The following is a 15316-nucleotide window of genomic DNA, read 5'->3' as shown; positions in this document are numbered from 1 at the left end:
TCCTTCAGGTGCTGCGCTGGTTAATATTCCTAGTAAGATTAGGAATTGAAGTTTAGAGGGTATTTGCAGTCTGTGAACCCAGGAGAACTGATTAAACCTGTGAGGAGAAAAGTCTTGAGTAAACGTAGTTTTACCCAGCCTGTGTCTCTTGTTATATTTACTGAGAAGAAGTGAGAAATTTTCTGAGATATTCAACTGCTAACTACAAAACTCTTGTTTAATCTTCCATGAATCTAGCTTTCAGTTTGCAGGATTCAATAACCACAAAGGTGGAAAAGCTTTGTCTAGTTCACTTAACCTTTAGATAGCACAGCCTTGGCCTAACTGACCCAGGAGTATATAAATAATATAGAGTATTCCGTTGGTCAGAAAGCACTGGACTCTGGTCTTAGAATTCTCCAATCAGGCTTGTTTGTAATAGAATAGTGTCTCCAGCATATTAAAATGAAGATCTAATAGTAAGTAACAAGTGTCTCTAGTGGATTCAAACCCAGGAAACCTCTTAATTCACAAGGTTTTAAAAAATAAATTAACCCAATAGCTTTCAAATCTTGACTATGACCCATAGTAAGAAATGCATTTGATTTTACATTTATATGAAAAACATATACATTTATATTACACAAACATGTATGTATCCATATGTACAGGTGATTCAGACAAAAATACACAGAAGTATACATTTTCGGTATGTGACACACTCTTCTATCCCATTCATTTCTTTTATAATAAAAAAAATTTAATGCTGTCACAACTTACTCTATTGACTTCATGCTCTACAGTTGGGTGGACAATACTGCAAGATGCCACACACTGTAGCCCATTCTCCCTGTTGGCAGGTGGTTAAGCATTCTTCTTGGCAATGGGACAAGGCAGCAGGCAGCACCCAGGTTCATCCAATGACTGATTGTATTGAGTCCACATCAGGTCTTAGAAATGGCATGAAGACAAGATGGCAGCCAAATCCACAGGAGCTCATTTTCATTTTGTTCTAAGCACAGGAGTGTATCTAGTCCTATTATATACTTGTATATATAATTTGTAGATATGATAGATATTATTGTTAATATCTATGGTATTTACTATATATACAACGTATAGAATATCTTGTAGATAATTTGGTAATTATCTACAGTATTTACCATGAGATAAGCACAGTTTCAGAGTCAGACACTTGTAATCAAATCCCACCTTAGCATTTAGTGAAAGCCATATAGTATAATGTGGTACAGTGAAATACTTAATGCATTTGCACTATGAACTAGAAAAGTTCCAATTTCTCCTACTTGCAAGCTGTGTGATCTTGGACATTTATTAAACCTCTCTGTACATCAGTTTTCTTATCTGTAAAACAAGACCTTGGGGTTGAAAGAAATAATATGTATACAGCCTTTAGACTGCAGTCTAGTGTATAGTAAAGATTCAATATATTAGCTATTATTACTACAGATATTTGGCCTAAACTTTGTGTGCCTTATCTGTAAGGTATAAACTTTGCAGGATTGTTCGAGGAGTGAATATGTTTGTATGTCTACTGAAGCCCGGCACATATGGACACAATAATGACAGCCATTAATTTAATAAACATGCTACATTACTGATTACTGACAGGGTTTCAGTTATCTCTTGCGGAAAAAATTTCCTAAAACCTAGTGGTTTGAAACAATAGCAATCAGTACAGTACCTCTCACTCTTTCTGCAGTTTAAGAGTTCAGGAAGGGCTGGGCCTGCCTGGACACCTCTCTGATTTCTCTTGTGTAGCCTCAGGAGCCTCCCTGGGTGGGCTCTGTACTAAGGCTTCCTTACAATATGGTAGCTTCTTATCATTGCTTATATGGTAGCTCAGAATTTCAGTCTCAAGTGTTTTGGCTCACAAGGCAGAAGCTGAATCATCTTTTCTAATGGCCTCATTCAGAGGGAGGCAACACACCCACCTTTTGATAGAGAAATGTCAAAGTTCAACAAGAGGATGTAGGACAGAGCTCCCGTGATGGCCATCTGTCAAAAATGCAGTCTTCCACAGAGAGGATCTGGAGCCAGACACGCTTAGGAAAAAAGCTGTGAGAGGTGGTCACTCTCACAGAGGCTTCCGGCTATCTTTTTTTTTGTTTCTTTTTGAGATGGAGCTTCGCTCTTGTTGCCTAGGCTAGAGTGCAAGAGTGCAATGACACGATCTTGGCTCACTGCAACCTCCGCCTCTCAGGTTCAAGCGATTCTCCTGCCTCAGCCTCCCAAATAGCTGGCATTACAGGCACCTGCCACCATGCCCAGGTAATTTTTGTATTTTTAGTAGAGATGGGGTTTCACCATTTTGGCCAGGCTAGTCTCAAACTCCTGACCTCAGGTGATCTGCCTGCCTCGGCCTCCCAAAGTATTGGGATTACGGGTGTGAGCCACCGGGCCTGGCCAGCTTTCAGCTATCTTTAAGCCAAAGACAGCAGCAAGGGGAGCAGGATGTCAAGGGGAAGCAGGATTTCCTGCTGTTGCATTATTCGTTTTGACCTCATCTGAACACACTGAACATTCACTGAGCATGTGCTCTTGCTGGATGTTACACTAAGCTTCTTACATGGATTATTTTATTTAATCCTCATAACAAGCCTCTGGAGGTATATATACAGAATGCTCAATAAGTTAAATAAACTGCTTAAGGTCCCCTGCTACAGAGGGAAAGGCCAAGTTGAAATCTGGTACCTCCATCCTTCCCCATCAACCTGGGCTGCTGTGATAGGTACAATATTTTATGTTCTACCTAGATGATTACGTGAGTCTATATTTTTACCCACTAAGTATGCTAATATGTTTATTTGGATTATTTTTACCAAGTTATCAAGGTAGAAAGATTGAAAAACTAATCATTTAATTAAATCAAATATGTTTCTTCCCCAATAATCCTAAAGAATGGGGAAAAGGTAAGAAAATCTGATTCTCTAAACCCATTTCTTTCCACTGTGTGCTTATTTCAAAGGAGGCAAGACATTTTAATGGCTGGGATATTGTCTTTATTTTTGAGCTATGTTTTTTCTTTTAATGCAGTTTATTCAAATTATTATAACTCCTGCTTTACGGCTAGTAATCTGTTCTGTGGAAAAGCAAACTTTATACATCACTTATTTTTTTTCTACTTCTGAAAGCTGTCATCTAGAGCATTAGGAAATAGCTTTGTGGAGATATCACTGACATATAAAAATTGTTTATATTTAAGATACACAGCTTGATGTTCTGATATATGTATACATTGTACAATGATCACCACATTCCAGCTAATTAACCTATTTGTCACGTCTACATAGTTATCATTTGTGGGGGGTGGTGAGAAGATTTATTTTAGATCTAGCCTCTTAGCAAAATTCAAATATAAGATATAGTATTGTTAACTATCATTTTCACGCTGTACAGTAGATCTCTGGAACTTATTTATCTTGCATGACTAAGACTTTGTACCCTTTGACCAACATCACTCCATTCCTCTCTTCCCCCAGCCCCTGGGAACCACCATCCTACTCTCTGCTTTTATGAGTTTGACTATTTCAGATTCCACATATAAGTGAGATCATGCAGTATTTCTTTCTGTGTCTGGCTTATTTCACTTAGCATAATGACCTCCAGCTCCGTCTCTTTCCCTTTAAAAAATTCGATAACCTAAGCAAGTGTGTACCAATCTTGATTTCTTCTACAGAGACGTTTACTCTGAGAGTATATGTAATTTTCATTCTTGATTTATCTTGCAGGCATGATAGGACCCCCTGGGCCACAAGGATTTCCTGGTCTTCCTGGGCTTCCAGGAGAAGCTGGTATTCCTGGGAGACCTGATTCTGCTCCAGGAAAACCAGGGAAGCCAGGATCACCTGGCTTGCCTGGAGCACCAGGCCTGCAGGGCCTCCCAGGATCAAGTGGTAAAGTACTCCTTATTCATATCCATTAGCATTTATGCTGCTTTTGATATTTGCAGTGCCACTAAGAAAGCATAGTTTTTAAAATATTTTAAAAGTTATATGATGTTTCATGAGCTAAGTTGGTTGTCTTTTACAAACAAATAAACTGAAGTTGGACTTTCACATCCATTAAAGTATGTGCAATCATTTGGTTAGGAGTTTCAGTGTAAATGATAGAACTTGGTAAAATAATACCAATTTTTTTTAAATGTAGTTTTAATTTTCATCAGAGTTATATATGGGCTTGGTTTGTGACTGCCCGGTGGGTTTATTTTGCCCACTGCCCAGGGAGAGCCGATTTGTCGAGACAGGGGAATTGCAATAGAGAAAGCGTTTAACATACATAGAGCTGGCTAAATGGAAGACTGGAGTTTTATTATTACTAAAATAATAAATGAAATAAAAATAAAAATAAAAAAGCCTCTCTGAAAATTTGGAGGCTAGGGTTTTTTAAAGATAGTTTGGCAGGCAGGGGGCTGGGGATGAGATCATGGGGGTGTGGAAAATGGTCCTAACGTGTTGAATCCACTTCTGGGTGGGTGCCACGGGACCCTTGAGTCATGAGTCTTGGGTCTAGGTGGAGCCATCCAGTCATCAGAAACGCCAAAGTCTGAAAAGACATCTCAAAAGGCCAATCTTAGGTTTTATAATAGTGATATCATTTATAGGAGTAATTGGGGAGATTGCAAATCTTGTGACCTCTGGAATAATAATGCTGCTAATCATTTAAGTATACCTACATCTTAGCAGAATACAGGCCCTTCTTGTTTTGTTTTGTTTTGTTTTGTTTTGTTTACCTGGTGGCTTTTTATTAGCATTATGAAGGTAGTTTAGTTTTGGGGAGGGCTATTATTATTTAAACTATAAGTAAATTCTTTCAAAGTTAGCTTGGCCCACGCTCAGAAATGGCCAAGGGCAGTTTAGAGGCTAAAGACAAGGTGAAGTTATTTAGGTCATATCTCCTTCACTGTCACAATTTTTTCACTGTGAGAATTTTTGCAAGGGCACTTTCAGGTTTAAGAGTCAAACTGTTCTACAAGGCATGGTATGGATAACTCAAATCCCCCACAACTCCTTCTCCTAATCCTTCCTCTCCAAGGGCAATCATTTCAACACATGTGGCTGGATATTTTGTTATTTGCCTCTATACTGACATTCAATGTACTTGTATTGCTATTTCTCAATTTTTCCAATTCAGCATTATCTTTTGACTTTCCTTTACGGAAGATGAATTTAGCTTTCTTTCACCAACCCCTCACCCGACATGTGCACATTTTCTACTCCCACAAACTACAATACAATTATTGTCATAATTTTGCTTCCATAAATATTCAGAGTTTACACTGAATAGTTGGTTATATAAGGGCCATTCACCAGCTGAGCCATATAAAGTATAAATTATTGCTTTTCCAGAACATCTTGTCAATTGTCTTGTTTCCTTTGTCTGTTTGCTTGGTTTTCAATATACTTATAATTTAACCTCAAACTGCCCAGAATTATCTAAATTTCATCATTATACACTCTAACTCATTAACTATTCTATTAGTATTAGCTCTTTGAATAAATCTCTCCTGCAGCTTTTTGAGTTGTTCAGATTAGGTCAGGTTGCATTTTTTAATTTGTTGCCAGAATACTGTCTTGAGATCTTCCTTTACCAATATCCTGAGACTTTCTTTCCTCCATCCTCTCTCTTTCTCTGGGGCCCTCTATTTCCCATATATTTTTTAATGCTTTACTACCTCATTATATTTCCTGGGAAAAAGTGTAAATAAAAGGGCAAAGTTGGGAGATCTTGCTTGTCTGAAAATGCCTTAATTCTGCTGTGGACTTTGATTTCTAGTTTGGCTGAGTATAAAATTTTAGTTAGGAAATCTTTCTCCCTCAGGATTTTGATGGCATTTTCTATTGTTTCCTAGCTTCCAGTGTTGGCTACTGAGAACTCATAACATTTAGATACTTTATTTTTTGGTTTTGAAATCCATTTTCCTTTCTGGAAGCTCATAGGAGCTCTTTTTTTTTGTTTGTTTTTGGGGTCTTAAATTCCACTTGATTTGCCTTAGTGTGGGTACATTTGTACTGGCTTGCACACAGTCAGTAAGCAGTTTTAATCCAGCATGTAGCTTTCATGTCATGTCTTTTCTTTTCTTTTCTTTTCTTTTCTTTCTTTCTTTCTTTCTTTCTTTTTTCTTCCTGAGACAGAGTGTTACTCTTGCCCAGGCTGGAGTGCAGTGATGCAATCTTGGTTCACTGCAACCTCTGCCTCCCTGGTTCAAGCGATTCTTCTACCTTAGCCTCCTGAGTAGCTGGGATGACAGGCACGTGCCACCACACCCAGCTAATTTTTTGCATTTTTTAGTAGAGACAGGGTTTCACCATGTTGGCCAGGCTGGTCTCAAACTCCTGACCCCAGGTGATCTGCCCCCTTTGGCCTCCCAAAGTGCTGGGATTGTAGATGTGAGCCACCGTGCCTGGCCCTATATCCTTCATTTCTGAAAATTTTTCTTCAAGTGTTTCTTTGCATTCAATCTTAGCCAAAAGGCTGAGAAGAGATCAAGTGTCCTTTGAAAACGTTGTCTCCTCCATTTTTTCCCCTCTTTTTTCTCTTTCTGTACTCTATCTATCTGTCAGAAAATCAATCCTACATGTCTTTTTTTTTTTTTTTTAACCTTTACTCTATTACTCTCCAGCTGTTTATTTTTCTGTAACACTTTCTGGGAGATTTCCTGAACTCTACATTACAACCCTTCACCTGAATTTTTAAATTTCTGCTCTCATGATCTATTTATATCTATATCTATATCTATATCTATATCTATATCTATATCTATATCTATATCTGTTTTTCAATTGCTGTGTTCTCTTTTAATGTTTCCTTTTGTAGCAGGCTGTTCATGTTTCAGGGATGCAATACTCTCCCTCATCTTCTGTTTTAATTGTAAAATAAATTAAAATAGCTTGCTGTGATGCGTGTTTCTTCTAGGTTTTTTTGGCGGGGATAGTAGGGGGTCTATTTTCTTTCCCTGCTGCCAATTTCAGGAAGGGGATCTTTTGGTCTGTTTTTTTAGACAAATCATCCTGTTTTGGACCTCACTGTTGTTCTTATTCCAGAGGTACAGATTCTTGAAATTTAGGAGACATTTCTGGGGTAAATCAGGTTCTTTCTCAGCTTTCTAAGCTTCCTGTTTCAAATTCAGCTTTTTTTTTTTTTTTTAAGGATCTGCCAAGTTCTTTTACTTGGTTGTTGCTGGTTCCTCTCCCTTTTTCCTTGTCCTGTGGGTTTATACTTATTTTTATTTATTTATTTATTTTATTTATTTACTTATTTATTTATTTTGAGATGGAGTCTCATTCTGTTGCCCAGGCTGGAGTACAGTGGTGCGATCTCAGCTCACTGCAACCTCTGCCTCCCAGGTTCAAGCGATTCTCCTGCCTTGGCCTCTCAAGTAGCGGGGATTACAGGCACGCACCACCGTGGCTGGCTAATTTTTGTGATTTTGCAGAGATGGGGGGGGTTTTACCATGTTGGCCAGGCTGGTCTCAAACTCCTGACCTCAAGCAATCCACCCACCTTGGTCTCCCAAAGTGCTGGGATTACAGGTGTGAGCCATCGCACCAGGCCAGTTTATGCTTTTTTTATAATATTCTTTTACTCTACTGGGATTTGGGGAGGATGCCAAACTGTTTGCATTTTATCTGTCGTCTTTAACTGACATCTCTGAAATTTTATTTCTATAAGCTCTGCTTTTCCATTTTCTTCATTAGCTAAGAATTGATCACTGAGTGGGGGAATATCTTTGCCATACACTGAGTCCATTTTTTTGTTTATTTGTTTTGTTTTGTTGTCCATTATCTTGTTTTGCAACCCATTAATTTAAGGTAGGGCTGAGATTAGGGTTGGCTTTATCAATGGTTATGGTAGCAGAAGCATGCCATAACCACTGCATCATCTATATGTGTGTATATTCTTATTTCAGACAGAAAGAATCCTAGGAAAACAAGGGCGCAAAGAATGGGGTTGGGAAAGGAAGCACGTGGGGGAGGATGTGAGTGCAAAAGTCACTTATTCTATAGAAGACAGTCAGAAAAATTATGTGATTCTCTCTGCCCACCCCCTTACCTCCTTGACAGTGATATACTGTAGTGTTGGGAACCCCGGACCACAAGGAATAAAAGGCAAAGTTGGTCCCCCAGGAGGAAGAGGCCCAAAAGGAGAAAAAGGCAAGTAGGCACCAAAGGTAGAATTTCTAGAAGACAACTGTACATGGATGATCGGGGGCATTTCTGAGATGTGTAATGTGGCATTTCATTCAGATTTGTTACTCACCTTAGTCACCCACTAGAGTACTCCATTAAGTGCTATGTGATTACAAGTCACTGAAAAGTCAAAGCCTTGTGTCTTATATATTTATAAAGCCTTGTGTCTTATATATTATAAAAGTCAAAGCCTTGTGTCTTATATATTTATATATATGTATGTATATATATATATATATATATGGAACATTTGCCTGCCATGAATTTTGTCTGCAAATGGTGACTTTGCTCACAAGGTCCTCTTGATTCCTTGAGAGTGGCAGTGATAGGACAGTATTGATGTTTGATTTTTGTGGGACCTATATTTCCCAGACTCATCAATTGCCTGTCTCTCTGCTTCTCCACTCTAAATTGTTTGGAGCCGTTTTGGGCAACTGAGTCAGGTGGGTGTGACAGCATCAACACAGATGAGGAGTCTGACTACCCTGAAGACATTTGTTTAAGACAAAAAGTCCTGATAATTGGAAAATGCATTGTGGTGAATTATCAATTATAATATTCAATGCAATCAAAATCCTTCTTCATGTATTATTTTGTCTCCTTAATTGTTTAGGGTTTGTGCACTCACCAATTAATTTTTTCAGTTTTTTTTTCAGGAGGAACCAAAGGATGGGCTTTTAAACTTTTAAAAATAAAAAAGTTGAATTATTTTTAACGTTTCTTCAGTAGAATTGGATATCAGCTTTTCCCTAGAATTTGTCAGGATAAATTTATTAAGGAACGAAACCCTCCATTTGTTTAGAAATGGTATGCCCACCCTACATCCCATGCCTAGGCACCCCATGTAGTGCCCCATGCCACACCCAGCCCCCACAGCACGTGCTCTCAATTGTCTGCAAGAAGTGCATATCGGACTCTTTGTTCTTCATTTATGCTATTGGTTTTGTACAGTAAAGCCCTTATTGGGGATTTTATTCAGGAAATATGACAAATCTGCCATTGATCCTCTGTCTAGGAAATGAAGGACTCTGTGCCTGTGAGCCTGGACCCATGGGCCCCCCTGGCCCTCCAGGACTTCCTGGGAGGCAGGGGAGTAAGGGAGACTTGGGGCTCCCTGGCTGGCTTGGAACAAAAGGTGACCCAGGACCTCCTGGTGCTGAAGGACCTCCAGGGCTACCAGTGAGTACCTCTTACCAGTCATCTTTCCAGTTAAAAGAGACATGGTATTAGTCTGTTTTCACACTACCATAAAGATACTACCCAAGACTAGGTAATTTATTAAGGAAAGAGGTTTAATTGACTCGCAGTTCTGTATGGGTGGGGAGGCCTCAGGAAACTTACAATCATGGCAGAAGGGGAAGCCGGCATGTCTTACACGACAGCAGGTGACAGAGAGCATGAACAGGGAAGAGCCCCTTATAAAACCATCAGATCTCATGAGAACTCACTCACTATTGTGAGAACAGCATGGGGGAAACCCTCCCCATGATCCAGTCACCTTCTACCAGGTCCCTCCCTCAACACATGGGGATTATGGCGATTACAATTCGAGATGAGATTTGGGTGGGGTCACAAAGCCAAACCATATCAGACACGTAGAGATAAAAATCGAGGTGCCTCTTTCTAATTTATTGTGTGATATATGATTTATGTTTTGAACCTACAAACATTATGCTAATGCCTGCAAAAACAGTTTATTTACTCATCCATTCATCCATCGTTTACTTATTCAACTAATTGGTATTGTTAAGTGCCTGCTATGTTCTAGGCCTTGTTTCAGGTGCTGGGGATACAGCAGGGACCAGAGCCCAGTCTCTGCCCTCCTAGAGCTTCAGAGAGGACACAGACCATCTAACAGATCAGCAAGTAAATATCCAGTATGTCATGTGGTGATAAACGCCATCACCATCGATTGTAGCTGGAGAGAAGAGAGAGAGGGGCAGAGCAGGAAATGAAGTCAAGGAACTGGCAGGAGGTTAGGAAGGGCTGCAGAGCATGGGGCTTTACAGATGGGTGAGGTCTGAGCCTTTACTCTAGACTACATGAAACAGCCAGGGGAGAGTTTTAAGAAGAGTGAGACAATAGTTTTAAATGGATCACTCACTCTGGTTGCTCTGTGGAGCATAGACCATATGGATAAGGGACATTGGCTGGGAGATGAGCTGGGAGGCTGCTGTGTAATCCTGGTGAGATATGACAGCCAATGCCTTAATGTGGTGGTGCTGGGTGTGGTGCAAGGTGGTCAGATTCTGGATATATTTTGAAGACAGAGCCAACATGTTGGCTGTTAGTTTGGACATAGGATATAAGGAAAAGAGAAGTAAGGGACAGAACCAGGGTTTTTTGTTTGAGCCACTGGAAGAAGGCAGTTGCCATGTACTGAGATGGGAAGGCGATGGAAGGAGTGGGCATTGGGTGAGGAAAGAAAGCAGTACTGTTTGAGACATTTCAAGTTTGAGATGCCTATTATACAGTCAAGTCAAGAAGTCAAGTAGGCAGTAGGATGATATTCAACTTAAGGATTCAGATGAGAGGTTTGGGCTGGGGATATAAATACTGGCTTTGTCAGAGTTTACGTGATATCATGCCAGAGAGTGGATGAGATTTACCTCAAGGTGGTTCTCATTTGGTGAAAGTTACAGATGAAGCAGGTTGAGGCAAAGCCTCTCAGCTGTCTGATTGCTCATAATGCAAGCACTGCCCACTGGGGTACTCCCCTGGAGACTGGAGAGAGCCCTCTGTCCCCTCCTTATTAACAAGGCTCAATCCTGGGATGGCCTGGAACTTGACCATCAAGCCCCAAAGGACTTTTTTCCATTTTCCCCAGAAAATCTCATGAAAATAAGGTTCCAACCCGAGGGCCTTAAGTGAAGTTAATGATTAAGGTGTCCCAGCAGTACCCTTGTCACATGTACAAAGCCCACTGGCCACCTCTGCTCAATAGGAAGCTAGGTCCTTAATGCATGTATGTGCATAAGCATGGTTGCAATTGTTAAGTAGTTTGCATTCAACATTTTACCATAGTCATTTTTGTGTGTGTTGGTACTTAATCTTCTTAGTGAAGATTTTAATGGCTCTAAAATATTTTTGCGGCTTCCTGTTGAGTTGCTACTTAGGGCTAACATCTTTGAGTGAGGACTGCTTGTTTATCTAGGGTTATCATGGCTAAGGTTTACTTAATTCAGTTGCTCTATGGGGCTTTCCTTTGTAGGCTGGCCACGTTTCTGATTGTGTATCTGGTCTGTTGTGTATATGATTCTGTCCATATGGCTTCTCTGCATTAAATTCATTACATTGTGGTCATAGTCAGGGACCAGGGTCATACCATGGGGCACTAGGGAAGGAAAGGGTAGAGAAGGGAGGGAAGGGGGAGGAGAAGGGGAAGAGAGAGAAGAAAAGGAAGGGAAAGAAAGAAAGGAAAGGAAGGAGGGAAGAAAAGAAGGGAAAGGAGGAAGGGAAGGACAGACAGAAGAGCATGAAAGACGGTGCAGACTATGGGGTGCTCTCGCTCTTGGGGGCTCTCCATCCTCCCTACATCTCCTCTCTCTGGAGATGGTCTGCTTGTCTCTGGCCCTAGCAGCCACAGATTGGTAGGAAAGAAGAAAACAGAAAACTAGGCTTAAGTTCTTTGCAATTGTTTGTATAATTGAACCAAGTCTTTGCATTCATTGCCTTAGCCTGACGGCGCTCCCTAGGATGGGATTTCCGGCCAGGATGCTCTAGTGCAAGGCACTAGGGCCTAGGAGCAAGTGGACCAGCTTCAGATCCCATCTCCGACATTTGGGAGCTCTGCAGTCTTCTAAGTTTTACTTGCAGCATTTATAAAATGGATATAAGAACACCATCTTAGAGGCTTGTTGGTAAGAATTCAATTGAGTCATGTGTTTTGCACACTGTATAAGGTACATACCAGTGAATTAAAGTCCAGGAGGCTGCAGAGCGAACCAAAGGTCGCAAACTGTCACAGGCTGATAACGTTTGGATGTGTGCCCCCTCCAAATCTCATGTTGAAATGTAATCCCCAGTGTTTGAGGTGGGGCCTGGTGGGAGGTGTTTTGGTCATGGGGGTGGATCCCTCACGAATGGCTTAGCTCCATCCCTTTGGTGATGAATGAGTTCTTAGTTCTTGCTCAGTTAGTTCACAGGAGATCTGGTTGTTCAAAGGAGTCTGGGACCTCCTGCTTTCCTCTCTTGCTCCCTCTCTCACCATGTGATACACTGGCTTCCCACTTCACCTTCCGCCATGATTGGAAGCTTCCTGAGGGCTTACCAGAAGCTGAGCAGATGCTGGTGCCAGGCTTGTACAGTCTGCAGAACCATGAGCCCCTTTTCTTTACAAATTACCCGGCCTCAGGTATTTCTTTATAGCGAAGCAAAAGTGGACTAATATATGGGCTATTTCTGACCTGCTGGAATGTTTGGTTGTGTCCTCATGGTGTTTGTTTTTGAGTTATTAATGTGAGGTTTATGGCTTCTCCTGAGATATTAGAAGTTTATGAACACAAGGTTATTGCGTTCCCACTGCTGCTGTGGCTGCGGGTTGATTCCCCCCATGCCTACCCACCTGTTCCCCTTGGACTGGACAGGCGCCACCCCTGTAGGCATCTGCAGTTGATGTCCCTTATCTAGACTGAACAACTAGGATATGCCTGGCAGAGAGGAAGTGTTTTTTTTGTTTCGTTTTGCTTTTGTTTTTTTTTTTGGTGGAATTTCACTCTTGTCGCCCAGGCTGGAGTGCAATGGTGCAATCTCAGCTCACCGCAACATCTGCCTCCCGGGTTCAGGCGATTCTGCTGCCTCAGCCTCTCGAGTAGCTGAGACTACAGGCATGTACCACCACACCCAGCTAATTTTGTATTTTTAGTAGAGACAGGGTTTCACCTTTTTGGTCAGGCTGGTCTTGAACTCCTGACCTCAGGTGATCTTCCCACTTCAGCCTCCCAAAGTGCTGGGATTACAGGCATGAGCCACCGTGCCCAGCCCGGAGAGGAGTTTTTGTTGCTGCTGGGCTTCCGTTGTTAGAGTAACACAAGTGTTTGGTGATCTCAGGTCTTAAGATTGTAAAAAGTAGCTCTCTGTCTGAAGCTGCTGAGAACCTTTGCCCCAGGAATCGCTTAGGTTACACATTTATTTCACTAGTTAACTGCTGTATTCTCAGTACTCAGAGTAATGCCTGGTTCTTTGTAGTTTTCAAAGAAAACTACAGTAATGGTTTTAGTAATGTTTAGTAACATTTACTAAACAATGGTTTAGTAATGGTTCAGTAATGTTTTCAGTAAATGTTTCTTTAATGAAGTCCAGTAATAGTTTTCCTTACTAGCTCAAATAAGTCTATGATCTACTCTAGTACTTAAAATTCGACACCTACAGAGCATTAGAGCAATTCGTCATACATTTGAAGTCTCCAATGTGCTGAGTAATACACTGCTCAGACTCCTGGGATGGGTTCATTCTTCCAAGGTACCAAAGTCTTATTTATTAAGCATTCCACTTTTTTCTCTTTCTGGAAAGAAATTTGTCCAAATGCTATGTGAACAGTTTTCTGTCCTGATAATTTATTCTTCAGAAGGGCATTTTCTTTATCCATTTCTTGGGCAGGATACCATATGACATACACTTTGGCCAGGCCCCACTGCTACTTATGACTAGCATATATAGTAAAAATAAGAATAAAAGAAAACCCAACCTACATTAGTACTTTATGATTTCTAATTCTTTCTAATATATTGATTTATACTAAGAAATTTGTTCTACCCACCTTTTTGATGGTTCACAGACATTGCTACAAACAGGATGCTATACTAGAGTGATATCAGAGATATTGAGTTATGTGTGGACATACTTTTTTTCTCTGCATGAAATGGCTTCCAACCCTGTTGTCCATTTGAGTTTTTATGTCTGTTGTTTGCATTTTTGGCTTCCTCTTCACTGTTACTGCCTGATGATTGCTGATGCCACTGTGCCCATCTCCACTGGTACCCTCCTCCCCTCTATAGCTCTCAGCTTATAAATTAGTACAGCCGGTTAAAAAAAGATAGTTAAGCTTGCTTGAACACATTGTTAGATTGTGTGAAAATAAGACAAGACCAGGTGTGGTGGCTTACTCCTGTAGCCTCAACACTTTCAGAGGCAGCAGGATCCCTTAAGGCTAGGAGTTTGAGACCAGCCTGGGCAATACAGCAAGACCCCATCTCTACACACAAAAAAGTAAAATCCAATTAGCCAGGCATGGTGGCATGCACCTGCAGTTCTAGCTAACTGAGAGGCTGAGGTAGGAGGATTGCTTGAGCCCAGAGGTTTAAGGCTGCAGTGAGTTATGATTGTGCCACTGCACTGCAGCCTGGGGGATGAAGTGAGACCCCGTCTCAAAAAAAGAAAATAAATAAAAAGAAAATACGACAAGGTAGTGGCATCTGTGTGAGCAAAGCAACTGGCTTGCTCAGTCATTTTTACCTCCCTCCAATTTCTTTGCTGTGGTTTTTTGATTATTGATATCACTAGGTAAGTAACCTTGGGCTCTGTATAGTGTTTCTATAATGGTATTTGAAATGGTGCTTGGCCACCCTAATATACTGACAATAGGTTCATATATATATATTTTTTGACACAGAGTCTTGCTCTGTCACCCAGGCTGGAGTACAGTGGCACGATCTCAGCTCACTGCAACCTCCACCTCCTGGGTTCAAGTGATTCTTATGCCTCAGCCTCCCAAGTAGCTATGACTACAGGTGTGCACCATCACATCCAGCTAATTTTTGTATTTTTAGTAGGGACGGGGTTTCACCATGTTGGCCAGGCTAGTCTCGAACTCTTGGCCTCAAGTGATCCGCCTTCCTTGGCCTCTCAAAATGCTGGGATTATAGATGTGAGCCACTGCACCCAGCCAGGTTCCCATAATTTTGACATGGTTTGATATTCAGTAATATGTAACACTTAAAAAGTATGACTCAAATTATTCAGATTTGAGCAATGTTGTGGTTAAGAGAGCATGAGCATGTCAGCCAAAATTAGCTATTTACCTGTTATACAGAATAAATATATTAGCTTCAGAAAAGGTTCTTAATTCCTCTTCTCCTGCTCATCAACTTTCCTTAGCAGGACGTCACTTCCATGCCTTTTTCATCACA

At 40.8% G+C, this 15316-nt stretch overlaps 1 protein-coding gene across 29 annotated transcripts in view; it reads left to right on the top strand.

Moving 5' to 3' along the window:
* Positions 1-15316, top strand: part of COL4A4 (collagen type IV alpha 4 chain) — a 197129-nt gene that overhangs the window by 66468 nt on the left and 115345 nt on the right. For 27 of the 29 annotated variants that reach the window (XR_922837.3, XR_001738602.2, XR_007069255.1 and 24 more), the window contains exons 20-22: positions 3732-3896; positions 8064-8153; positions 9205-9368. Coding sequence is in view for 25 of the 29 variants with exons in the window: in XM_011510565.3 (XP_011508867.1) it covers positions 3732-3896; positions 8064-8153; positions 9205-9368 (419 nt within the window). In the remaining 4 variants the exon portion in view is untranslated. Of the gene's footprint in view, positions 1-3731; positions 3897-8063; positions 8154-9204; positions 9369-11873; positions 12050-15316 lie in introns of those variants that run through there. The other 2 variants (XM_005246282.4, XM_011510572.4) reach the window with 2 other exon arrangements.

The sequence above is a fragment of the Homo sapiens genome, chromosome 2 (genome assembly GCF_000001405.40).
Source record: "Homo sapiens chromosome 2, GRCh38.p14 Primary Assembly".
NCBI classification, from domain to species: Eukaryota; Metazoa; Chordata; class Mammalia; order Primates; family Hominidae; genus Homo; species Homo sapiens.
The sequence above is the reverse complement of the archived record's forward strand: the minus strand, read 5'-3'. Positions and strand labels throughout refer to the sequence as shown.